The sequence below is a fragment of the Homo sapiens genome, chromosome 9 (genome assembly GCF_000001405.40).
Source record: "Homo sapiens chromosome 9, GRCh38.p14 Primary Assembly".
NCBI lineage: Eukaryota > Metazoa > Chordata > Mammalia > Primates > Hominidae > Homo > Homo sapiens.
The window spans coordinates 105,954,445-105,980,474 of NC_000009.12; the positions used below are offsets into that span (position 1 = coordinate 105,954,445).

General features: G+C 40.0%; 1 long non-coding RNA gene across 2 annotated transcripts in view, besides 1 other annotated feature; it reads left to right on the top strand.

Annotated features, from left to right (window-relative positions):
* Window positions 1-26,030, top strand: part of LOC107987108 (uncharacterized) — a 675,821-nt gene that overhangs the window by 25,464 nt on the left and 624,327 nt on the right. For both annotated transcript variants that reach the window (XR_007061713.1, XR_001746870.2), the window contains exon 3: window positions 21,589-21,687. This is a non-coding gene — a long non-coding RNA (uncharacterized LOC107987108). The remainder of the gene's footprint in view (window positions 1-21,588; window positions 21,688-26,030) is intronic.
* Window positions 3,342-3,897: an enhancer, noted in NCBI's record as "OCT4-NANOG hESC enhancer chr9:108720067-108720622 (GRCh37/hg19 assembly coordinates)". NCBI's record gives its function as "activates a minimal SCP1, AML or CMV promoter by ChIP-STARR-seq in primed H9 embryonic stem cells {active_cell/tissue: H9 hESC(primed)}" and the evidence as "EXISTENCE:reporter gene assay evidence [ECO:0000049][PMID:30033119]".

The window sequence follows — 26,030 nt, forward strand, 5'->3', positions numbered from 1 at the left end:
CATCTTATTTCCTTTGGTTTAAACTGAAGCCTGTAATGCCTTTGCTGAGTGGAAGTTCAGAACTTAGTTTAATTCTATAATCCTTAACTGCTAGCTGCTTTCTATTTGACCCATTCATACATAATTCAGGGGACATCCAGAAATTTGAGCTGAGTGTAAACAGAATTTGGTGGTATTCTTTCACGGTTTTCTTCTCCCACAGCTTCTGATTGTCTACTTTGCCTGGAATTTTCCTAGTTCCTCCAGCCAGAAAAGTAGGAGACTTTTTCTTGGAATTTCAGCAATGCTACTTTGGTCATGATTCTGGTTGTCTTTAGGGCATACCTGCAAAAACTATAAATCACTCTGTGCTGACTTCTTACTATAAGTTTGACTGCCTTTCAAAATATGCCTGCTTTTTTTCAGTTCTTGGAACCATCAAGTGTTTATATTTTTTCTCCTAGCATTTATAGATATTATTTATGGAAAGATACATTATTAGACACCCAGCCTTGAGTTAGCTTGAGTTTACTTGAGTTAGCTTGACTGGGTTTTTGTTTCTTGCAGAACCATAACAGAAGCCATTAATTATGGAATCCAGGATTACTACAGGCTTGGCAGAATGTTGCAGTGGCAAAGGCATAGGTTTGGGAAATGGATATACCACTCTATTTAAGCTATATGACTTAAGTAAGAATTAATGTTAGTTGTCTATTGTTGTATAATAAATTACTTGAAAATGTAGTCACTTAAGATGAAAAACATTTATTATCTTACATGGATTTTGAGGGTCAGGAATTTTGGAGCTATCTAGATGGATGATTCTGTCTCAGAGCCTTTCATGAAGTTGCAATCAAGTTGTCAGACAAGGTTGCAGTGCTAAAGACTTGACCAAGGCTAGAAAATCTATTTCTAAGCTTACCCACTGTTGTCAGGAGGCTGTTGGCAAGCAGCCATGTGTCCTTGCCACATGGGCCTCTCTATAGGGCCGCTTATAACGTGGCTTTTTCCAGAAAGCAAGTAATGTGTGTGTGTGTGTGTGTGTGTGTGTGTGTGTGTGTGTGTGTGTGTGTATGCAAGAGAGAGAGGTGGGGGGTGTTACCAATTAATTCACATAAATGAGCCTCCTTTCTTATGCTATCCTTAGCAATCGGCTTTGAGTTTCTTAGAATCTAAACTACTAGGTAGCTGGTTTACTTACTGTAGCTTTCAAAGCTCATTGTCACATTAAAGCTGTTGCTTTCTTTCAGCACCATTCCCTAAATCTTTAATCTGAGGTAGCTTTGTAATTCTAAGATAAAAATCTTAGAATTTATGAAAATCCTAGTGATATGAAAGAATCCTGAGCATCATGCTTTGACTCACTGTTATTCTAATAATTCATTTTGGACTTTTTGGAAGACACCAGAGGGCATAGCTGCATGAAAGTTTAAGAAGAGAATAGCTGGGTTGATTCTGGTGCTTCTTACAATCAACAGAATCCCCTCACTTCCCTCTGTCCTTTCCATGAGTAATTCCCACTTTGCTACAGCAGAGAGGCTTGGATCCTGGCGTTTCCCTACTCTGTAGCCAGCCCATTTCCATTTTTCCATTCTTATTCTCAAGGAGGAAGAGTTGGACTTTAATAGCTCCTGTGAGGTTCTCCTCCCTGGCTGTCCCCAACAGTAGTGTATTGCTTCTGTTCTACCTCTGGAGTTTCCTATTCTCTATCTCTTTGTACTTTTTGGATCCATATTATTTGTACTGTACACTTAGTATAGAAGCTAACATTTTGGTTGTAACTGTAAACCTTAAAGTGTGTCTAAATTCCATGGGCTCTCCAGATTGGGAGGTTGCTGAACATGTAGAAATATGCTTGCTTTTAACTTTCAGCACTTGTAACAATAGCAACAGCGGCAACAACAAAATTGTCACCGTAAGGGAACCTAGAGAACTCCTTGAATCTATACATTGCATTACTCCATTGTATGTGAAAATGGTTTCAAAAGTAGGTATCTTTTGGTCTTTTGAATAGTTAACATGGCTCTAATAGACCTCATTTTGCCAGAGTATGAAGTGAAGGAAACCCTTGTGAGAGTGCCTTTGGAACACTCGCATTTGTGTAAAGAAAATGAAAGAGAATCATAACGTTGCCCATGTAACCTGATGTTTTTTTCCCTGCTATTGGAGTGTGTAGCCATGGTTTTCTGATTAAGGTATCTTTGAGTTTCCTTCTCCATTTGGCACTCAGTCCCCCTAAGCTATTTTCCTGACATCTGAACCAAGTCTCCCTCTTCGTTTTTGACCAGGGTGTCTGCCTATATTTCCATCCTCAAGACTAGGCAATGGAGATACCTTGACCTTTCCCTTCCATTCATATCTTTCAATTTCCAAAGGTACCACTCAAGCAACATTAACACTCAGTGATATGGCCAACGACTGCTAAAGAGTAAAGAGGATGTGGGAGGAAGGGCAGGAACCAATGTGCTGCTATGCATACTCAGTTTCTCCAGTGATTTAGAGTCAGATGATCTGAAGAGACATAGATTGTGATGGACATAACTTACTTTGTCACCTTTTTTCACTAGTATGTGTACAAACATAGCCTTTTCTATATTATTTATGTCAAGAGAGTGTCCTTAAGCTCATTAGTTACCTCTTTTATATTAAAAATTATGACCTAGTACCCCTGGCAAACAAAAAAATACTCATCCCCTAAAGCTCTTGATGTCTTTAATTGAGTAGATTCCATATTTGTTTCTTTGGGTCCCACATCAGTAGTCATTAGCGCACACTCTGGAGCCATTCTGCCTGGGTTTGCATCCTTGCTCTGGCACTTACTAGCAGTGCAATCTTGGGCAAGTCATATATCCCCCTCTCTGTGCCTCACTTTTCTAATCTGTAAAGTGGGGATAATTATGGTACCAACCTTATGGGGTTGCTATGAAGACTAAGTGAGTCAATATTTATGAACACCTTAGAACAATCCCTGGTACTTAGTAAGTGTTACTTAGTAAAGTGCTGCTGCTTCTCTTCCTCTTCTTTTACTTGTCCTTCTCCTATTCTTCTTAAGCACTCTGGATCCTGGCCTTTCCTATGGTCCTGAGATGATCAAAACATAGGGAAGAGCAGAGAGCAAGGCTGGAGAAATTATATGTCAAGCTCATATGACTTGTCTTTCCAGAAAAATATAACTTACTTATTGAGCCTTATTATATGTTAGACACTTAACATGTATTTCTCTAATCCTTACAGCAACCCTGGAAAGCAGATATCATTATTCCTATTTTATAAGTGAAAATAGAGTAACTTTACCCAAGTTACTTTGGTAATTTGCCCAAGGTCCCACAGTGTGAGTCCATTTTTTGTTGTTGTTGTTGCTATTAAGGAATATCCATGGCTGGGTAATTCATAAAGAAAAGAGGTTTATTTGGTTTATGGTTCTGCAGATGGTGCAAGAAGCATAGTACTGGCATTGGCTTCTGGTGAGGGTTTCAGGCTGCTTCCTCTCGTGGCCTAAGGCAAAGGGGAGTCAGTGTGTGCAGAGATCACCTGGTGAAAGAGGAAGCAAGAGAAGGGGAGGTAACAGGCTCTTTTTAACAACCAGCTTCTGTGGGAACTAATAGAGTGAGGACTCACTCATTACCATGAAAACAGCACCAAGCCATTCATGAGGTATGTGACCCAAACACCTCCCATTAGGCCCCATTCCAGTACTGGGGATCAGATTTCATCATGAGGTTTGAGGGACAAACATTATCCAAACTATAGCACACAGTTAGTAAGGGCAATTTTGAAGTTCAAACAGCTCATCTGACTTCAAGCCCATTTAATTTTCTCTCTGCAATTGGGACTTTTGTGATTCCTTAATTCCTTGCACTAAGATTTTGTTTTTTTTTTCTTTTTCTTCTTTTCTTTCTTTTTTTTTTTTTTTTTTTTTGAGATGGAGTTTTGCTCTTGTTGCCCAGGTTGGAGTGCAATGGTGCAATCTCGGCTCACTGCAACCTCCACCTCCCAGGTTCAAGTGGTTCTCCTGCCTCAACCTCCCAAGCAGCTGGGATTACAGGTGTGCACCACCATGCCCAGAAAATTTTTGTATTTTTAGTAGATATGGGGTTTCACCATATTGGCCAGGCTAGTCTTGAACTCCTGACCTTAGGTGATCCACTCGCCTCAGCCTCCCAAAAAGCTGGGATTACAGATGTGAGCCACTGTGCCCAGCCTATGCTAAGATTTTCAAGTCCTAGGGAAAGGGATGGATGGAAAAGGCTTGTATTATTTGGATGAGATCAGGAGCTCTCCTTGTAGAAAGCAGAGTAAAAAGCTCAGAGTTGTGTGAACACTTGAGTGCTGACCTCACAAGTTAATAGGCTGTAGGTGGCACCAGTAGCATGATCAACAAAGCTGTGTCATTTTAGTCGTTTAAAACTTAATCTTGGCTTCGGTATATTTGAGACTTAACTACACTAAATGCTTTTGGGTATATGTCCAGGTCTCTACAGGGGAGTACAATGGATGAGAGCGTCTTTATTTCTAGTAACATTGATACAGTTTTGTCCAAATACATGGAATATTCCCACCTCCACTGGTTTCTTTCCTAGTAACAAAGTCATGGGCCATTTATGGCCTCACCCACGTACCTCTCTATTGAAAGACATAAAATATGGCAGTGCATTTTTGTGCCAATGAGCAGGGAAATTGTCAGCTTCTCTTTTCCTTATTCATGTGTTTCCCAGGGTTGTCAGTTGGCATTATGGGTAGTGTGCATATTGATTGGTGCATATTGACTGGGTGTTGCAGACATCCTAACAAAATGAATAGATGAGATGTGGAGTTTCTCTTTGCTATACAAATTTGAGGGAAAATGCTGAGTTAATGGGAGGATGCTTTGGTATAAAATAAAAGTTAACATGAGCCAGGCTGCCAGCAGAAGTGCTAAGAGGAGAGACATTTTATAATTTATCAAGTTTTAAGTCTTTGTCTCACCAATAAACAGAAGTGTTATTCATGTTGATTAACTAAAAAGCCTCCTCACAGACAAGGATCTGATTCTGAGTTTAGGGATTCTTTGCTGATTATAACTTCAGGCTCCAGAATGGCTCTCCTTGTCCTCTCCCCTTTCCCGCCCAGTGCACCACTTCAGAAGAGGAGAGGCAGTTATATTCCTACTCTGTAATTCCTTATTTTGCCTCTTTCCCCACTAATTCATTCTGAACTCCACACACACTGATTTCCCTTTGCCTCAAACTGGTTTTACCTAATTATTAACCCAGCAGGAAGAATTAACTTGTAACTCCAGTGTTGTTTTTGTGTCTCTTGAGACATCTCAGCATGACTGAGCACCATAAAATTTGAGTTGTGATTTCTGGAGCTGGAGCGTAGTTGTAGAGAAGGAAACTTTGAGGGGTGGCTTGTAACATAAGGAAATCATTTTGATGCGAGTAAATGTCTGCAAGTGAACATTCACTAATGAGGTTGAGAGTTTATTTATAGCAAATAATCACCGTTATTATTCTTTACTTGCTATGCATCACCCCAGCACTGGGTTGTATACAACATGCCAAGATTTTTGCTGAGTGTTTCCTCTTTAAGTCATATGGACAAGACAATTTAAACATGTGAAAGATAATCAAATTAGAGGAGTGGGGAGTTTTCTTGATCTTTTATGTCACCAAGTTAAGGAATTAAGACAAACAGTTCATGTGTACATATCTGAAATCATAAATCTATGATCAGCATAGTCAAAAAGCGGTAGAAGTAGAATCTATTGGGAGAGAGGAATTTTGTGTGGAAGAGAATAATAAATAAAGTTATATGCTATTTGCTATGGCTTTTTAACATTAGCTATCATATGAAGCTGTTACTTGATGCCAGGAAAATCTATCCTGCTGCCTGTTTGTATAAATAAAGTTTTATTGGGGCTGGGCACGGTGGTTCATGACTGTAATCCCAGTATTTTGGGAAGCCGAGGCAGGAGGATCACTTGAGTTCAGAAGTTTGAGACCACCTGCGTAACATAGTGAGAGTCCATCTTTACAAAAAATTAAAAAAAAAAATTAGTTGGGTGTGCATACCTGTGGTCCTAGCTATTCAGGAGGCCGAGGTGGGAAGAAGAACATTTGAGCCCAGGAGGTCGAGGCTGCAGTGAGCTGTGACTGTTCCACTGCACTCCAGGCTGGGCAACAGAACAAGACCCTGTGTCTAAAGGAAAAAGTTTTACTGGAACAGAATCACATTCGTTTGTTCAGGTATCACCTACGCCTGCCTTCACATTATAATGGCAGAATGAAGTAGTTGCTACTACTTTACTATTTAACCTATCTGGAGCACAGATAGGTTAAATAACTCACCCAAGCTCACACAGTTAGGAAGTGGTTGACTCAAGATTCAAACTCAAGCAGTCTGATTCCATAGCCTGCCCTCTTCACCATTGTACCATACTGCCCCTTTACTATATAAGACATAAATCTAGTTGCCTTGTAGGTAGAAAACAACTTGAATTTACCAGTCCATTGTTCCTCTCACCAGCCTGGCTCAGACTCTGTCTGGACCAATTGAGGTGAACTAGAGGCTACACTGGGGAAGTGGCTGAAGGTACCATCAGCAGTGAAGCCATCTGCTGTGGTCTGAATGTTTGTGTCCCCTCTCAAATTCATATATTGAAATCCTAACCCTTAATGGGATGGTATTTGGAAATAGAACCTTGGGGATGTAATCAGGTAATGAGGAGGGGGTGCTCATTAATATGAGTGCCCTTATGAAAAGACATAAGGAAGTTTGCTTTCTCTCTCTTAATCCTGTGAAGATATAACAAGAAGATGACTGTCTGCAAACCAGGAATAGTCCCCTCACCAGACACTAGATCTGCTGGTGGCACCTTGACCTTGGAATTCCCAACCTCCAGAACTGTGAGAAATAAATGTCTGTTGTTCACGCCACTCTGTGTATTCTGTCAGCCTGAACTGACTAAGACAACACCTATTTTCTACCATTGGGTCAAGGTATGCCAGACTGAACTCTGCCTAGGCAGACATTGGTGTTTTCTTTTTAAAAGTTTACTTCCAGTCTGGCAGTACAATTGGCACATGGTAGGAATTCAAAGACTGTCATTATGGAGTCCCTGCCGAGTTTCTATTAGCTTTTCTTCCTGATATTAGCACCTTGAATTTCCACTGAGAGAGCACTTCTCCACCATAGTCATTCATGTAGACTGAGTGGGGTTGACCTCACCCTAACTCCAGTGGTGGGTCCTGATTAGCCCATCAAAGTGTCCTGTCCTTCTTTCTATCATGATGGTGTAGTGATGGGAACATGATTTAAGCTGATCCAACTAGAGTAAAGCTCACCATCTGTCATGGAATTGCAGGGGCATAAATGCTCTCTTCCCCACAGAAGGTGGTAATAAGAGGATTTGTACCATGGAACTGTCTTCTCTGTGAGAGGAGAACTTGTAGTTGCTAGGGAGCTGCTATGTAAGGTTTGAAGTTGGAGCTACCCAGATTTTTACCTGGGGCCTGAAACCAGACTTATTCCTTGAATTATTGATTTACAAATTTTTGTTGTTGTTGTTGTTCAAGCAGATTTGGGTTTTGGATTTTCTGTTGCTGCCAGATTTCTAATTGATAGAGGCAGCAATCTAGTGTAGAGCAAAGAAGATAGGACTAGAGTGAGGAAATCTGTGTTTAAGATCTGGCTTTCCAATGAACTAGTTTTGTGTTCCTGCATATGGTGGCTGATTTATGATTCCTGTTTCCCCACTTGAAGAAAAAGGACAGCCCCATCTTCCTCATAGGACTGTTGTGAGAAGGAAGATACATCATTTATACCTTCAGAATTGTGTTTGAGGGTGGAGAGAGTATCCCCAACAGGGTTGAAATCTTGCAGACAGAAGTCAGCTCTACTTTGTCCACTGAGATACAGCAAAGCCCTCCAGAGCTCAGTCTTGCTTCCCTGTCAATTGCACAATGGTTGGATGATGCCATTTATGTATCTGGTTTGACAGACATCTCACTTTATTCATTTTCAAGACGAAGGATTCTTTCACTAGTCTCCCCCAGATTTTCTACTTTGAGTCAGGAATGGAGGACAGAGTGGGTGGATGAATAATGAGAACGCTATGTTGCCTCAGGTGGAAATGATCAGATAGAGGATAGATGGCCACACATTAGGGATGCAGAGAGGGCATACCTGCACCTGCACCAGACCTGCATGTGTTCCACATTTCTTTCTAGGTAGAAATTTTTAAAGTAATTGGCATGTTGTACCATTAGAATAGCAAGCAGACAACCAGGCTTTCAGTCCAGGTACCATTTCTCACTGTACAAGGCTGTGCTAGTAACTAAATGGTTTAAACTTCCTGAGGCCTCAGGTTTTCTCATCTGTCAAATGGGCATCTAGTATGTACGCTGGCAACCTTACATTGCTGGTATGGGAATAAAATGTGGAAAATGTCAGTGAAAATATTTTGGATTTGCGGAAAGCCCAAGTAAGACAGTATGCAAAAATTCAGAAGCTGCACATCTTTTTAGATTTCGTTCTTACTCACTGAAACCCTTCGCAAAGGGAATTCTCGCTCTATGAATTACACTTTCCAATAGCATGTCTCACAGGGCATGTTAACTTCTAAGCCACTGATGATCTTCAGGACTCAGTGTGTACATGCAGCTACTGTCTAGAGAAGGCCTGTGGATCATCTTCATTGTCATCATCATCTGCGTATCTGCATCCTCATCACTGCATCATCACCAGTGCCATTTATTAAACACAAGGTATATCAGGCATTATGGTTGGTGGTTTACATATATTCTCTAATTTAAACCTTGCGATATACCTGTAAAATATTATCTCCTTTTTATGTATGAGAAAATCAAGATTCAGAAAGACTGAGTTTCCTAAGGTCACATAGTTAGTTGAGAGCTGTGCTGTAACCCAAACCCTTGCTCTTTTCACTGCACCATATTGCCTCTACCAAAGGGAGCTTTGGAATTAGACCTGGAAGTTCTTATCTCATTCCATTGCTTCAGCAATTCAACACAAAGGCTCTGGTCCAACCCTTTTCCTTTTGTGTCTCAGTAGGTAATATTTCATCCTTTTCCCCTCTGATCCCACCCTCATTGCCAGATTCTGGAACCGTCTGCATGTTTCTGGTCTATAGTTCAGCTTCTCTCCCCAGGCATTTGAGAAAGGCATTCTCCACAAAAAGGGAAAACACATTTTATTAAAGCAAACATGCAGTCCTCAGCACTTTTACTTATCTTATTTATACACTGCAGTGCAGCTTTCTATGACCTAGTGATTATCATTTCCCAGAGCTATCATCATTTTAAAGGTACCTGTTCATCCCGCTTCAGCAGATGGTACTATGCTAGGAGTATTGTAAGAGCTTTAAAGAAAGGAAAACAAACAAACAAAGGAAAGATCTGTGGTTGGGTCAGCCAGAGGAAGAACTCACTTGCATTGTCTCCCAGTACTGTTCTGTTTCAGCTGGGGCTATGATGTGTGACGTGACTCCTAGAGGCCTAACCACTGGGGAAATTTATTTAGTCAGTGGTTTTCTTTTTCCCCTCTTTCTCCCTGTCAGTTAGTGGCATAGAGTTGGTTTAAAATATTCTTATATCCGATCTTCCCAGTTAAATCTCCTGGTTAAATTGAAGTCATTTGTCCCTTTACTCACTCATCTGACAAAAGACTTTTTGAGCACCTACCCTATGTAAGGTACTGTTCTAGGTTTAAGTTTCAATTGGCACCAACAGTTCTATGTCCTTGGGCAAATGCTTTGCTTTTCCAGACCTCACTTTTTCCTTCTATATGATGAGGGGCCTGGCTCAGGTTGCTAAATCTCATCTCAGAAACAGAAGGATTGGAGCTTGTAAAACCATTTTACAGATAGAAAATTCTAAGGTTCCAAACAAGCCAGGCTTGTTAACAATGGACAGCATCCAAGGAGAACTCCCCAAAGGATTATAATGCAAGTAGGTGGGCTGCTCAGGCCTAGTGAGGACCAAGCTATCCTTCTTCTCTGTTTCAAATTCCCTGAAATTCTTAATACTCTAGAGCAGTGTTTCTCAACCTTTTTTTCATTATCTCCCTCATAAACAGCCTTTTAAGACATTTTTTTTGCTAATCCCCTCCCCTGTGAAATTTTAATCCCACAGAAATACTGGATACCTCTTTATGTACTATGACCTTTGGGAAGCAGGGAGCAAACCATGATAATATCTAAGGTTTTTGGCCTTCAAGAACCAAATTTCATCCCCTTGGTAGTTATATTGGCCCCTACTGAGAATGCATGCCCTAGAGCAAGGATTTTCACACTTGTCTTTTAGCCTATGCAAATTCTATGCAAAATTCAACATATGAAATGTTGAATGTTGTAAAAGCAGTATTTTACACAGTCAGTGAGGAAACAAGTTAATATCCTGGTAGTCTCCAAAAGGAACATTGAATACAGGACACTTGAATGTACCTTTTTTCTTTGTCTGTCTGTCTTTATTTATTTATTTATTTATTTATTTATTTATTTATTTATTTATTTTGAGATGGAGTCCTGCCCATCTTGCCCAGGTTGGAGTGCAATGGTGTGATCTTAGCTCACCGCAACCTCTGCCTCTCAGGTTCAAGTGATTCTCCTGCCTCAGCCTTCTGAGTAGTTGGGATTACAGGTGCCCACCACCACGCTCAGCTAATTTTTTGTATTTTTTAGTAGAGACAGGGTTTCTCCATGTTGGCCAGGCTGGTCTAGAACTCCTGACCTCAGGTGATCCACCCACCTTTGCCTCCCAAAGTGCTGGGATTACAGGTGTGAGCCACCATGCCCGGCTGAATGTACCTTTTAAAAATTATATTTTTAAAAGATATTTTAAAATGTATTTTGAGGAAAACAGTTTAAATGAAACATTGACAGAACCCCTAAAACACTGACGAACAGTTTGAACACCATTGCTGTATAGTCTTCTGGAACATGGGATTTAGAATCAGATGGGATGGATCTGAGTTTATTTGCTATTACACCGACTACCAGCTATACCATCCTGGGCAAGTGTTAGAGTTTCAGTTTCATCATCTGTAAAATGGGTATTTGAATGCGAATGTACTTCACAAGATATCTATAAGAACTGAAACAGATAATCAACTGTGCCTGACACACGGTAGGCACTCAGTAGAATTTAGTTATCTCTCATGCCACTCTTTGTCTTTACATTTTCTTCCATTGATTATAGCAACTTGTGCTTGAACACACAGGAAACAATAGCTGCTGAGGAACTGTGGCCAAATAAAACAAGGAAGGACTCCAGTATCACTCTCAATGTCTCTGTTTTCCCTTTCCTGAACACAGAACAGGGAAGGGTATTATTACGCTGCCTGAAATGATGTTAAACTGGCATGAGTCCTGACTTCTTTTCTTATGAAACTGGTGGACCCAGTTATTAACTCTTCATATCCTGAGTAAGGTAAATCTTGTAAAAAAAAAAAATCATGTCTCATTAAATGGAGACCACTCAGTTTTATAGGGGAAATACCAAATGTTGTTTTATAACAAACTTTCTTTAAAAATTATGCTCTATTTTGAGGATTTAGCAGTACATATCTTTTTTTTTCTTTTGGACATATGAGTTGTCTATGTATGTACATTTATGGATTTGTTGTGTTTTGAATGTAGTAATATCCATTGAGTATCAATGACCATGTTCTCTTCAAATTTCTAGTTGGGGTTGTTATCCATAAAGCTGGGAGATGACTTGCTGGGATTTGACACCAAGATAATTAAGAGTACTACCAGATATCTATGTTGTAAGGAGAGTTCAGGGCTGTAGTCTAATCCCATTTGAATTATTTCTGGCAGTTTGCCATGGTCATCTGTAGAAGAGGCTATGGGAGGGGGGTAATGTAACGTGCGTTCTTTCAGATCCATCAATATGAAAACCAGAAATGGTGATTCCAGTGGCCCTACTCCCCACTGTAACAAGTTTTCAAGAGGAAAAAACTATGGAGAAAATGAAAAAAAGCATAACAGATTCACTGCATTAACCTTAAAATTTCTGCTAGGGGAAAAATGTAGTATTTCTTCTTTTGTATGTATGTTGACTCCAATAGTTGATAAAACTGAAGTTCTACATCATAAATTCCCATTTGGACATTCAGTTCTGAGAACCTGCATCCAGCAGCCTTATCACTTTGAAGTAAAGTCACAATCACTAATGGAATCTGCTAGCTTTTCACACACTGAAATTAGCTTTGATTCTTCCCCCCAAACATATGTTTAAAAGCAACATGCGCATACTGTACACTGGCATACTGTACACTGACCCATCAAAGCAATCAATGCCATGGGGGAGGCTTGTGGACTCACCTATTGGGGTTGAGGAAAAAAAATGTATTTCTTTCAGGAGGAGAAATAGGATTTCTGAGCTGTCTTCTGGCCCCAAAGAAGGGAGAATCTCCTTCTTCCTTCCCTATGAAAGAAGAGAATGTAAATGCCATTTTCCTTTGCGACTGTGAATAATAACATTTATGCTCTGAGATTGGTTTGCTTCTTTAATATGAAAAATGATATTCTGTTTGGATGAGACATTTCCTTGAATGCTTAGCATAAATTGAGCCCTTAAGCTTTTAACAAGAAATTCTGGGCTGTCTTGCCTGAAAACTCTGAGTAGATCTTGGAAACATTGCAGGTTTCTTGATTTGATGCAAAAAACTAGCCTTTTTCATGAGATTACTAACAGCACCCTTTGTTTGATATTCAGGAAGAGCCATCCAAAACAATCCTTGTTTGTATATCATTTTTTCTCTATCTTTATCTCATTCCCTCTCTCAGATTCTATTGCTCACTTGGCTCTTTCTTTCTTTGTCTGTCTCCTTCTTCTCCCCTTCTTTCTTACTCTTCCTCTCCACACTCCCTCTTTGTCTCACATCTTTACATATACACTTCCTTTCCTTTTTATTTTTTAATCATACCCTTGAGTGACACAGACCCAGTTAAGGTATTTACAGAACTGAGAGATATGTATGCTGGAGAAGGAAATGCATTTTTCGTCACTCATAGTGACAATTAAAATGACAACAATAAGGCCAGACTCCTCCATCATTTTTTTTTAATGCTGTCAGCATCAACTTTGCCAGAATTATTCTGGCTGATGCATGAGTGGACTTAGTCATTTTTTACATTGTGTGATGCAGAGCTTCAATATCATTTCAGAGAATAAATTAGCCTCCATCTCATTTAAACCAGCATCCTAAAAACCCTTCTCAGCAACATGCTATTCTAGCCAAAGAAGGTATATTTGTATAGATATAAAATCTCTACAGATTTTTGGCTGGGATATTTGTAGAGCTGTAAAATCTTTCTCTTTGTAGCTTAGATGATGCATTAAATTCTGGTGTCAAGAGATCAAAGGCATTTTGGTGTATCACATTTGGATTCCCTAAGAGGACTCAGTGGGTAAGCTGTAGCCACTCAGATTGAGACTCTAACATATACCTTGATCATTCTTCGGTTCTGGAGAATACACAAAGGATGGCAGAAGCACTTGGAACCCTTCCAAGGGAATGCAAATACAAATGGCTAGTTGTTTCACAGTGTGTTTTGCATTTCTGTACTGGCAGGATGTATCTCCATGCTAGACAGAAATTTGGTTGAGCCTCTTTGAGACAGACTGTCCCTGCCTATGACTTGGGTACCCTGTTCTGCTGCTTCTCATTTTGATGCCTACAACGGATAGTCTGCTGACAGACTAAATGGGGTCCAAAGAAGACCTGTATTCATGTCTGCAGCTGCCAGAGATCTCAGAGTATTTTATTGTTTGAATGGTTTTTTAGAAGGGGAATGAGTTGGAGAGATGACTGCCAGGCAGAGGCTGATGCCACTGAAATCTCATTTGGAGAGGCTGAAGTCTGATTTTTCTTATAACATGTAACCTTCTGAAATAGTCTCCTGGGTGACACACACACACACACACACACACACACACACACACACACACACACATATGTATATATCTGCCCTCCTGATTGGTCCTTCTTTTACACTCATCTCTGCTCTGGCACTTGTATGACATTGCAGATACTAGTTTGTCTCTCTCTCTACCAGGCATGTGCTCTCTGAGGGCCAGGACTGCATCTTACTCATATCTGTGCCCCAGTATCTAGCACAGTGCCTGGCACATTCTAGGTGCTTAGTTAATACTGAGTAAAATTTCACAGACCAATTTACAAAAACTGCTTGAAAAAAAGAAGTATGATTTTGTATACTTGTGTCAGGCCTTCCCCAGACTTAGTTCAGGTGCATGCTTGGAGAAAATTTAGAAACCACAGCATAGATAAGAGTTATAAATCATTTAAGTAAAGTCAAAGGATGTTAAACAACCCTGGGAACTCATCAATCCTGATTTAATAGGAGTGAGAGATGTTATACATTTCAAATTCTGACTTTCTGGTTTTTGAGGGTAATGCCGTGTTGACCAATTGTTCATGCCCAACACTTTTCTTCTTCCTTTTTCATCTATGAATAGCAGTCTCATTGATGTTGGGAGATGTTCATGGATGTTGAAGGCATTTCACTTTGTTGTCTAAAGAAGGCTTTGTCCTAAAGGCATGAGATTATTCTTTCACGTGAGGTGGAAAGGAAAATAAGAAAGCCTCCTTCTGTCCTTGGGTTCACATTGTAGGAACTCTTTCTTGCAGCAATAAAAGCCTTTGGAAGAGACCTTTCATTATAAGGGTTTCATGTTAAGTACTGCGCATGGGGAGAGAAGCTAAATTCCAATTTACTCAGCTGTATTTCCCAAGATTTGTTCCCTTGCAGCATAGGGGCTCTGTGCGAGCTCCATCAGGCCACTGCAGACCAAGCCAGAGGATTTGAATATTAATGCCTTTCAGGTTTCCTTTTAGAGGAAGCCCTCTTAGTCACAATAGTGAGACTCTGCCTGCAAGTCTATGACTGAATGCAAGAATAAAGAGTTCAGAGTATATCAGTAAAAGGAAGAATCAGGAAAATGAACACAAATCATGCCCAACCATCCAACATGTCTCACCTTCTATCAGGGTATAGAGAATGCTGTTTCTAGGGAGAGATGCTCCTTGCTTAATGAAGGCTTGTCATTTAGAAGCCAAAATAAAATCAGTTTCCCATGTAGTCAGATACATTCTTGATGAGATTCCGAGTCTCACAAAAGAATTTGCAGATTCTTTCCACTCACATCAAGCATCTAAATGTTGATCTGGGGAAACAAAGACATGAAAAAAGGAAAATGAATTTGTTGTCAAATTGAAATACCACATTTTTGTATTGCTGGCTGATGTGTCTGTAATTCTCATCTGCCATTCCTTCATCATATGTAAGTGTGTGTGTGTAATTTTTCCCTCCAAACCTGCAAAACATTGCAAAACTAGATTTAAATATTTCAGGCGGACTGCACCCAGCATTTGCATTCCTCTGACTCATTCAGAGAAAAGACATCTGAGCAGAAATACAGCAGATAAAAGAGAAACCATTAATCCAAGGAAGATTACTGGCACAGAATCTTTATCTTGTATCCTTCCTGAAATGAGACAAAGATCTCACTATGTACATCCCTCTGGCTTAGCTTCAGATAGAAAGCAATATAGAAGTATAGACATGGTCCTTTTTAAAGGCACACTGCTGTATTTGTCTGAATTCTGAAGCATCATCTTTCTGTTAGATTCTTGCTTTCTTGAGTGTCTTGCCTTCTTTCTCAGCATCTTCTGCCCTGGCTTTCATTCCTTATAGTGTAGCTTTCTGACTGGGATCCCTGCCTTCCCCAGGATGTTAGAGTTGACTTTTAAAAGACTATTACATAACATCCAGGGTAGTACTAAGTGCTTGAGCCATGAGGCACTACAGCCAGAGCCTTAGCTTAATTCATTTACTGTAGGAATCTAGGTATAACTTTATTTTCTTTATCTGTTAAATGGACAAATACCTGATCCTTATAGCATACTTCAGGCACAGAAATGTTGGGTTCATTTGAAAAAGCTTTGGGAGTCGAAGTGATGTAAAAATGCAAGCTATAATATTTTAAGTATAATATTAAAAACAAGTTGAATACCAAATTAAATAACTTTTAAGAATATTAGCCCAATTTACTAAGAGCATTGAAATCAGTCTTTCTTAGGAAAGGATTCTACTGTCTTCTTAGTTAAAGCCAAATACAGTAGTCATTGCCATTGCCATTTTGAGCATCTACTGCGCTGTGTTGGGCATTATTCAGGAATTACCTTATTTAATTCCTGCAACAACCCTGAAAAATAAATGTTATCTATTAACATTTCTATTTTGCAGATTAAGAAATGGAAGTTTCGAGAGGGTAAGAAATTTGTCCGAATGTTCATAGCTAATGGGTGTCCGGATTTGAACTAAGGTCATCTAGGCTTTAAATTATTTCCAATATTTTATTCTGCTACTGCAGTTTATAAAAGTCCAATCAGGTTAATACTCAACTTTGATGTTTCTTCGTTTACATATTTCCACTCCAGATGGATGAGAATATGTGCAGTTACAAATGTATTACACACAAGGTGGTTTAATAAGCAGTTTCCAAGTTTAACAGCCCTCACTGTCATTTCCTGATGAATCGCCCCAGTCCATAGATCAAGCCTAATGCCTCTCAGTCTTACTGACAAACAGGAGCACTGGCCCTCACTCTACATACAAAGTGATGTCCTTATCCTGAGTGTCCCATGATGAAGGGAATGTCAGGTCTGAATCTCTCATAGAGAAGTGACACTAGTCTGAGATGTCTGTGGGCACTGCAATTGTCTCCATCTTCATCAATCAGAAAGGTGTTATCAAACAAGATGTGTTAAAACCTTCAGATACTCCATGACTTCTACAGTGGAAGGGATGATTATGATACTGATGATGAAGATAGAGAAGGGGTTAGCAAAGTGAGGAGCTAGAGAATAAATATTTCAACCTTTGCAGGCCACATGGTCTCTATCATTAACTACTGAACTTTGTCATTGTATTGTAAAGGCAGCTATAGACAATACATAAATGAATAAGTATGGCTGTGTTCCAATAAAGCCTTATTTACAAACAGAGGCAGAGTGCTAGATTTGGACTGCAGGTATAATTTGTTGACTTCTGACTTAAAGGAATTTGGGTCAATTATTTTGTGCAGGAATGATAGGAGTTATTCATCCCATTTTTATTTTAGTGGACCTCCTCAACCTAAGGTAAAGAGAGAATGAACAGTATACAGTATTCCCCTCTAGTCATTGTTCCTAAGATTACTAAAAAATATAAGTCAGGATGATGATGATGACGACAATAATGATGATGATTACAAAATAATGATGCTATTCACAACCATCTGAAATTGATGTAAGCAATTCTTTCTATCTCAAGCCATAATTGGAAGCCGTACTCTTCTCTGACCCCTATTCCTGCTGAGCTGCCAATGGTCATTGGCCATTTTAAAAATAATTTATCTCCATGTTACAATCATAGCAAAACCTACTGTATCCAATTAAATCTCCACTTACGGCAGCCCAGGGAGTGTGATCACTTTCTGGAGATAGATCCATATCCCTGTGACCTTATCTTCCTATACTTTGCATTTAGCTATGAAATTAAATTGCAGGAAACGATACAGTTTTGAATCATTCCATTCAAAAGGCAGAAGCCAAAAGTTCTCCTAAGAGTGACAAACACATGGACTGCTTTTTAGATGGGAAACATCAGTACTTTAAGTGGGCTCTGTAAACTGGGACAGAGGTTCAAACATCTCCAAGCCTGGTGGGGTTTGTGCTTTCAGATTTGCTCCAGCTAGATTTTATTTCCAACAAAGGCTCTTATTCAGATAAAGGGAGTTTGCCTTTCTTGTTTCCTAGGAGACTTTTTTTTTTAATAGTTCCCTGGAAAAGATTCTTCTTGAGGCATTCTCAATCTAACTTCCTCTTCTGGTTAAGAAACTGAAGAACGTTAAAACTTGAGGTTATGGAGAGTTATGCCAACTGGGACTAAACTGTGATTATTTTGTTGATTTAAACTGACAGAAAGGTGAAGTCAGAATAAAATCTTGTTTCTCCTGTAATTTAGAGGCTAGGAACCATGATGGCTTTTTCCCCCCTAATAATGTTCAAATTATCCATTCAGAGTGATTTGATTTCAGTTTGAAGCTGGAGATCGCAGTAATAATCTTTCGCAGTATGAAGCACTTATTTACGAAGTAGTCTTTGCCATTTTTAATTGCACTTTCCCCTCATGCCCTTATTAATTATCTCTCTAGTTCCTCTTAGGTCTTGTCACGATGCCAAGTATTGAAATAGAAAAGGTTTATTTATTTCCAAAGACATGCAGAACAGGACAGGTTTTACATCTTGCTGTTTTGACTCTTAAAAGGTCATACTTGCAGTGGGCAAAAAGGTGCTCCGTGTAAATTGGGACCCCCCTGGATTTTCTGCTGGTAATGCACCCTTGGGACTGTTGCTTGCCTGGGGCATCCTTGGAATCCTGAAAAAGTGTTGTGTTTTGTGAATCTAGTGAAGCTGGAGTTCCCAAATAAAATGTTTTTTTTTGCTCAATAATGGTCAGCAACTCCCATATGCTCCTGGGATTAGATATTATTTCCTCTCATATGACCACAGCTTTGTTTTCTTCTACTTTGCTCTGCTTAGTCAAACAAGTCTCTTCAGTGTGCCCAAACTCTTCTTAACACTTTACTGCCTCTGTGTTCATGTCATTTCCGCCTTTTGGAATGTCTTTGTTCATGCCTTTCTTTTAGTCTGTTGAAATCTTACATATAATCCTTCAAATCTCATCAAATTTTCAATTTTTCATAGAGCACTTTATCAACCCTTCTTTGCCTCTGCGAGGTACTCGGATTATACTTCTTTTGTCCTGCCTGATATTATAACCATTAGTAATCTTCTCTTAACTGTCCCAGCTTGATTGTAAACTCTCAGGACAAGAAGGTATTGACTTATTTTATATTCCCCCGGAATCTTGAATGTGTGTGTGTGTGTGTGTGTGTGTGTAGTGGGTTTCCTACTCAGGTTTGATGAACTCAACTACAACAAAATATTCTAGTTCAATTCTTGGGGATCTATTCTAGAGAAGGTTGGTAATAAAAGAGCTCCTTTGAAAGGACAGATCTGATTGTCCTACCTGGGCTTTGAACACTCCAGAGAATTAGGTGAGGTCTAAAACAAACTGGATCCTAAAACTTATTGGAAGCAGCAACACCATGGTTAGATCCTATTCCTCAGCTCAAGGTGGCAGGGACATGAGAAAATGAGATAATTATTGACAGTAAAACAAAAGAATCTCTGTGGCTGAGAGACAGTATGAGCTGAATATATATGAAGAGCGTACTTTTCTATCTGTAAATTATAGAAGGAACATTGGAGTTATATCTGTATCTTCTTGAGTTTGACTACAACCTTCTTGTACAAAAATATTATTTGTTATGAGGGTTAGAGATGAGTGTTACTCAGAGAGGCAGCTTTTATGTTTTGCTCTTTAAGAGTCTTTCCAATTCTCAAACTTACCCTTCTCTAACTTTTAGGGCAGTTGAATGTCTTCTAACTGAATGATCTCAGCAGGACATCCTGAGCTTCTAAGGAGGTTAGCATTCCAGCAAACATTTGGCTTAGAGAATTCCTAAAAAAATAGTACTCTGAAGGCAGTTAAAATTTAAGGAGCCAATAGAAGCTGTATGTGTGTGTGTGTGTGTGTGTGTGTGTGTGTGCGTGTGTGCGTATGTGTGTGTGTTTCAGCCTCTGGAATGTGAGAGCTAGTATTCTCTCTAGTAATTTGTTTTTCTCTCTCACACTGATTACATACTCAGATTTGAAATGTAATAGAGTGCATATTATGTTATTCTCAGAATATTTGAAAGGAAACCAAACATTCCTTCCTTCAGGAGTCAGTTTTCCTAGTTGTGGTGTAGAAAAAAGTGACCTCTCAGAGAAGCCGATGAAATGACAGATTACTTTTTTTAAAATGGACTTAAATTTTCTGCAATATTCTAAATCTGAATCATCTGCTGAGTAGCTTTCCTTTTTGTGTATATATTTTAAAGTGCCAGTCATGGTTGAATGTTAATAACCAATCTGGCCATTGATCTTCAAAGATACAGAATGTCTTTCTAAATGTGCTGATTGTTGTGTTTAATATAATTTTAGTTTTGTTCTTGGTGAAGAGAGGAAGGAGAGGTCAGTCATATATTTGTGGGATTTGTATGTTTGTTCTTGACATTTGAACATTTTTGAATCTTTCCTTATCCATTTAATCTTTTATCCATCAAATATTTAATCTGCGCCTATACTATGTGCCAGGCTCCGTGCTAGGAGCTGGGAAGTGTCTGTGAAGCAAAAGCAAAGTCCTCATAAGAGACAAATAAAGAACAATTTCCAAGGGGGAAAAAAAGCTTCAGACAGTCCTCCGATAACTGCCCCTTCAGAGCCACTCTTGTCTGCTACTGGCCCCATACAAACCCTCTTCCCTCCTTTTATAACCCCACAGCCCCGGAGACCTTTGTGTGCCTTAGAGGTCAGCTCACAGATGTGGCCCTGGGACGCACTCCTCTTTATCTATATTGTACTTACAAGAGATGGAGGCTCATGGGTCTTTTCTAATTTTTTCCTTTTTCTTTTTTTGATTAGCATCTGCACAAATGGCCTCAGTTCATTGCTTTAAACTAACTAATCCGGCTTGTTAAGACAGAGCTTGTCATCCACAAGTTGTTATTAGCAGGCTTCTAAAGGAAGAGGGTCCCAGTCAAAGCAGGGCGGGCTTTGGAGAAAGGTTATATAATATAATATGTTCTTCAGGCGCCGTATGAGAGGGAGACAATGCTGCCTCCCAGGGCCTGTTCTCAAGAGCTACTTTACAGGCTTACATAGTCCTGCCTATTCTACCTCATGAAAAGGGAGATCCAATCATTGCTTTCTGGAAACTATTCTCCTCATCTCTTTGGCTGTCATATGTATTTAACAGTAGTGCCCTCAAGGACAATGGGTGGGGGGTGGTAAGCATGCTAGGGGCTCCGGCCTACAGCCTGTAGTTTTTCATTTCACGTTGCTGGGTTTTCTAAGAATGGTCTTCTTTGTTTCCATTTTGAGTCATGGCTGAATTCTTATATGTTGTCTGATCTTCAAGCTCAAATACCCAAGGGACCAGGCAGCTGTGAATCAACCCTGTGCGTGCGTGTGTGTGTGTGTGTGTGTGTGTGTGTGTGTGTGTGTGTTTTCTAGGAGGTACTATAGCAAAGAAGACAGTATACTTTTCCTTATTTCTTTAAATCGATAGGGATTTGGAGGAAAAGACTTTAATAAAATAGAATTGTGACTGATTATTTTCCCCTTTCCGAGCACTTCTGTGAAATCAGAAGGTTATGAATAGCATGAGGAAAAAAAAATAATAAAAAACCCTTTTCTAAGGCAGTCCTGTGGGTTTAAGCCCAAACCTTAGATTTATAATAAAAGCTCAGTGTCTATATGCTAACCTCCACCTTATGAGATGGATCTCTTTTCTGATGGCAGAGTATAAAGAAATCTTCCACATGCTTTCACTTATTGGGAAGGTACACAGTTGCTTATCTGTTGTTTTTCTTCCACATAGTCTACATTGTGATTTGGAAATTTGACATCATGTATTTTTTTCCCCAGGCCAGATGTTTTATCCTGCTATGTTAAGTCATCTTGACATGTTGCCATGAAATGGAAACAACTGCTCGTTTTAATATTGCTCCATATCTTTATTACAAGGTACGTCTCATGCATCTTAATTCCTCGTATTTTCCCTCACTGTCGTTCTCTGATCTTCTTCATCCCAACCCCCCTTTACTCCTGAAGAAGGCATATTGTAATTGCATGACAGTCGTGTCCCGGTAGCTAAAGAGGTTCTAGATAGCATAATGAATATGCAGCGTATTATCTCCCAGGATGTGTGCCTGTGTCTTTAATCACAGCTGGAATGCAAAATCGAGCTCCACCTTTCAACTCTATCTCCATCATGCTGAGAGAGTGAGAGAGAGCGAGACGGAGACTGCTAGACAGCTCGAAAGAGATTGCAGCTCAGATGTCCTGAAAAACAGCAAATCCCTCAGACCTGGCAGATTCCGTTACCATGAGAACTGCAGATATTTCCATTGTGATGGTTCGCTCCAACAGCCATCTGTTACACCCATTTGATTAGGAAGTACAGTTCAGCTTGCATGGGATTTTCATCACACCTTATCCCAGGGCAGTATATAGAGGCGCTTGCTTTTTTATATGCTAAACTCCAAGGGTTCAAAGTACTGTAATTTACCAAGGTGGAGGGCATTTAATGAAATGTATGAGAAGGTCACTAAAGACCGAAGTGCCGAGAAGAAATACACACAGGAGATGTAAGAGAGGATTAGACTCCACAGCTGAAATGCAACCAACTCTGAAAATTAACCAAGTTTAGCCAACCCTTCCCTTGGTAGAGAAAAGTAAAATGAAGACCTGGGATCTGAGATCTTGCATCCTGAAGGGTGGAAGATGTATTTGTGCAGTCATGGCATGAGTATTACTGGAGCAGTAATTCTTTCTCAGGACTCAAGGACAGTCAAAAGAAAGGGAGAGAGAGGTAGTGCCTCAGACACATCTCATCAGTGGAGATGAATCCACTGTATAAAGATTACATTAGCTCTAAAAATTTTATGATGCCATCTAACTTTTCTGTAGACACAAAACGACCTTAAAAGTTCCTTGAAGCAGTGCTGTAATTCACAGATTTAAACCAGTTATTTGGACTAGTTGCCCCTCTGTGTATTTTTGTGGGGGAGGAAATGCTGATGGTACATCATATAGACATAAAAATAGGAATTTCCTTCAATTAAGATTCTCCGAATACCCTTCCCTGGTGGTAGGCATTCTAAGTCCAGGCTTCCAAGAGGGCCAGCATGGTCTAGGAGGAGCTACCTAGAGTGTCTTAAATTGACTGGAGCTCCTGTAAACCTGGGAAGCTAATTAAATGCTTACACACCAACATGATTTTGTGATTGCTGCACAGGGGCCCTTGATGTGGCCTCCCTTTGTTTTCCAGCCTACTTTTTCTAGGATGGACTCTGATAGTATATAACTCAGGTTGCGTGAAAGCAGCCAAATTTTCCAAAGTTGCTAAGTTTGCAAGTCTCATTATATCACATTTTGTCTGTTGGTTTGTTTTCTGGGTGACTGTTTCTGAACAAGGGAAATGCTCTCCCTATCTGATTGCACTGAGGGCTGAAGAACTTTTCATCTACTCTCCTTCCTGGCCTGGTGTCAGGTTGCCATCCAGGTAGGCTGGGATGTCAGAAGAAACCAGAAAACTCATTCCCTGCTTTAATGCCAAAGATGTATTTGTGGTGTGAAAGAAAAAATTCTTCATGGCACTTGTTCAAGATGGTAAGGCAGACATTATTCAAGTGGGGCTATGGTGATGGGCATAGGGCCCACTGGAACAGGGTCTTGCAGTAGGGGAGAGAGACTGAGCTGGACTCCGACTCCGACAAAGACAAGTGGGGATTTATAACCGAGGAGCAGGGTGGGGGCCGGTAGATGGAAAATTGCTAAAAGGAAAACAGGGGGGATTAGGGGGATTCTTGCTAGACTGACTCAGTAGAATTCTTGTTGAAGGCAGACCAGGGTGATAAGATGTAGAGGGTGGTCAGAAACAAAGGGTGGGGATTTTCAGTGACTGACTTAGCAGGATTCCTTCTCAAACTGGATTCCAAAGGAGAGAGAGGGAAGTCCAATGTTGTCCTAGTCAGAAAGGATTCAGAGGAGCCTGACCCAAGTTTGGTCACAAAAGAGAGTCTTTGTCACTGGCCAGATAAAATCAGTAACGAGGACCATGGAGATTAAAAATCAGAACAAGATGTTGTTCCTTTTTTTTTGCTGAAACATAGTGGATTCTTCTACTCTGCAGTGGAAAGACTCAGACTTCACAGATGAGGACCTGTGTTTTCCTTGAATGAGGAACCAACTAGTTTAGCCAGCAACTGAAGGTATAAATGAGTCTCCGTCCCTCCTTTGCAAGTCGAAAGTTAGGAGGCTCTGCTCCTCCATCCTAGCAGCAAATGCCTGGCACTGCAGATCCTCCAGTGGTGTTGACTTTCTGTCAGTCGTACACCCTGGAGATTGCCCTTTCTCGAAGGTTTTGAGGCAGGGCTCTGGTTTTATGAACACAGCGTCTGTCTTTGAAAGGCAGCAGATGCAATGAGGGCCTGAATTGAAACAATAAATACTATTCAGGTTTCCTGCTCGGAACTTCTTATATAGTGGTTCCTTTGTTAGAGCAAACATGGACTAAAATGCCTTCTCCCTTCCTCCCCGCTCCCTCCAGCTCCTCTCCACAGCTAGGATCTCAGCCACCTTTGGAAAGCAAAGGTTAAGTACCTGAGGCAGAAAGAGTTGAAACACAAAGGAGAGGAAATCCAAAGTATCCCTTACTTGCCAGAAAGAGTGTGAGTAGGGCAGAGAGCTTTTGGGGAGGGGGATGAATTTTAGTTGAAGCTGGAAGAGAAACAGACCTTGGAGGGGAGTGCTAGCTAGAAATATTCTCCTCCGAGCTGGGATGTTAACAGTGGCACCTTCTGACTTAATGTGGCATCTTTCTTCATCGTTATCAATCTCATGAGAGCTTTCCTGCCATCTGCACTATTCCTGCTTCAGGCTCCCATATGAAAGTCCAATCTGGCAGCATAAATACTGGCTAATGAAGAGTAGATGTCTGACTGCCTGGGAGAGAAGCGATCCTGTGTCATTGATGGAGCAGAATTCATTCATTTAAAACAAAATCTGCATTTACACAGCCATTCAAGAAGAAATTCTCTCCCCTTCTCTCTCTCTCTTTTTTCCCCTCCCTATACTCTCTCATCCTCCTTTTTTATTTTCTTCCTGTGTCATTCTACATGAATGGAGTTCATGCAAAAGTCAGCATAAAAATGGTCTTTGCCCAGAATGTTATACCTTGGAGATTAAAAATAGGAATGCGATGTGGACTTGCCGACATGTGGTGGGCTATTTTTTTCCCCTTCAGTGGGAAAGCTATAACTACATAGATTAGCAAAACTTGTGCAAGAATGGATGTAAAACAGATTTATCTCTGTGTCAGCTTTATCTGATCCATTTGGTCTTGCAGAGTTTGGATGGCTTCCTTTGTTACAATAACCAGCTTTCAAACATCTATATCCCCAGGGTATTAAATGTCAGCCTCCCATGTACCAGTCAAGGATAGAGGGTTGGCAGTCTGTGGGCTGGAGGAGTACTCTTTGTGTGCACATGAGAGGAGTTGCTCCTGTACCAAGGCTGGCTCCTGGTATGACCTAGAGGAACTCCTACAACCTCCCTGCATCACAGCATCACAGTGGAGGGGTGCTGAAGCTTGCAGCAGCCATTAATATCCTTTTACAAAGAATTCAAAAAGATTTCCTGTCACTGACAAGGACAGATTTGTTAGAGGTCTCTCAAGGAAATGGACAATAACTAATTAATTGAGCACTCCATGACTTTCTGTACTGTCGTTTTTCATTTATCTGTTCTAGTTTCTCATCATGCAGGTCTAGCTCTTCTTTTTCTTTCATTCCTTCTTTTATCTACCTCTTTCATTATTTCTGTCACCCTCTCCTTTCCCCTCTTATCTCATTTTCTCCCAGATCTCTTCTCTTTCTCTTTTATATAATCTATACGTAAAAAAAAAAAAGATCCCTAGTAGAGTACACATATGTAAAGATTTTATCCTGGAATATGGGTACATTTTCTCTGAGTCTGATAACTGTCATCTTTTAGGGTTGGAATAGGCCTCAGAAGTTTCCTCTTTGTACTTGATAGATACATAATCTTCAACATCCTTGACAAGGTATTGCAAAGTTTTTGTTAAAAAAAATCCTACTGTGCCCAAGTGGTGCATTATTATTATTATTACTATTATGACTATCCAGGAATGATATACTCTGTGTGCTGTAGAAAATAAGGAACCATGTTGTCTCAATTTACAGAAAAATTATTGAGTGCCTGTCTAATTAAATGGCATTTCATCAGACCCTGCAAGCAGTTCTGTGGCTCTTGAATGCTAAATGTAGATATTGCCTTATCCTCAT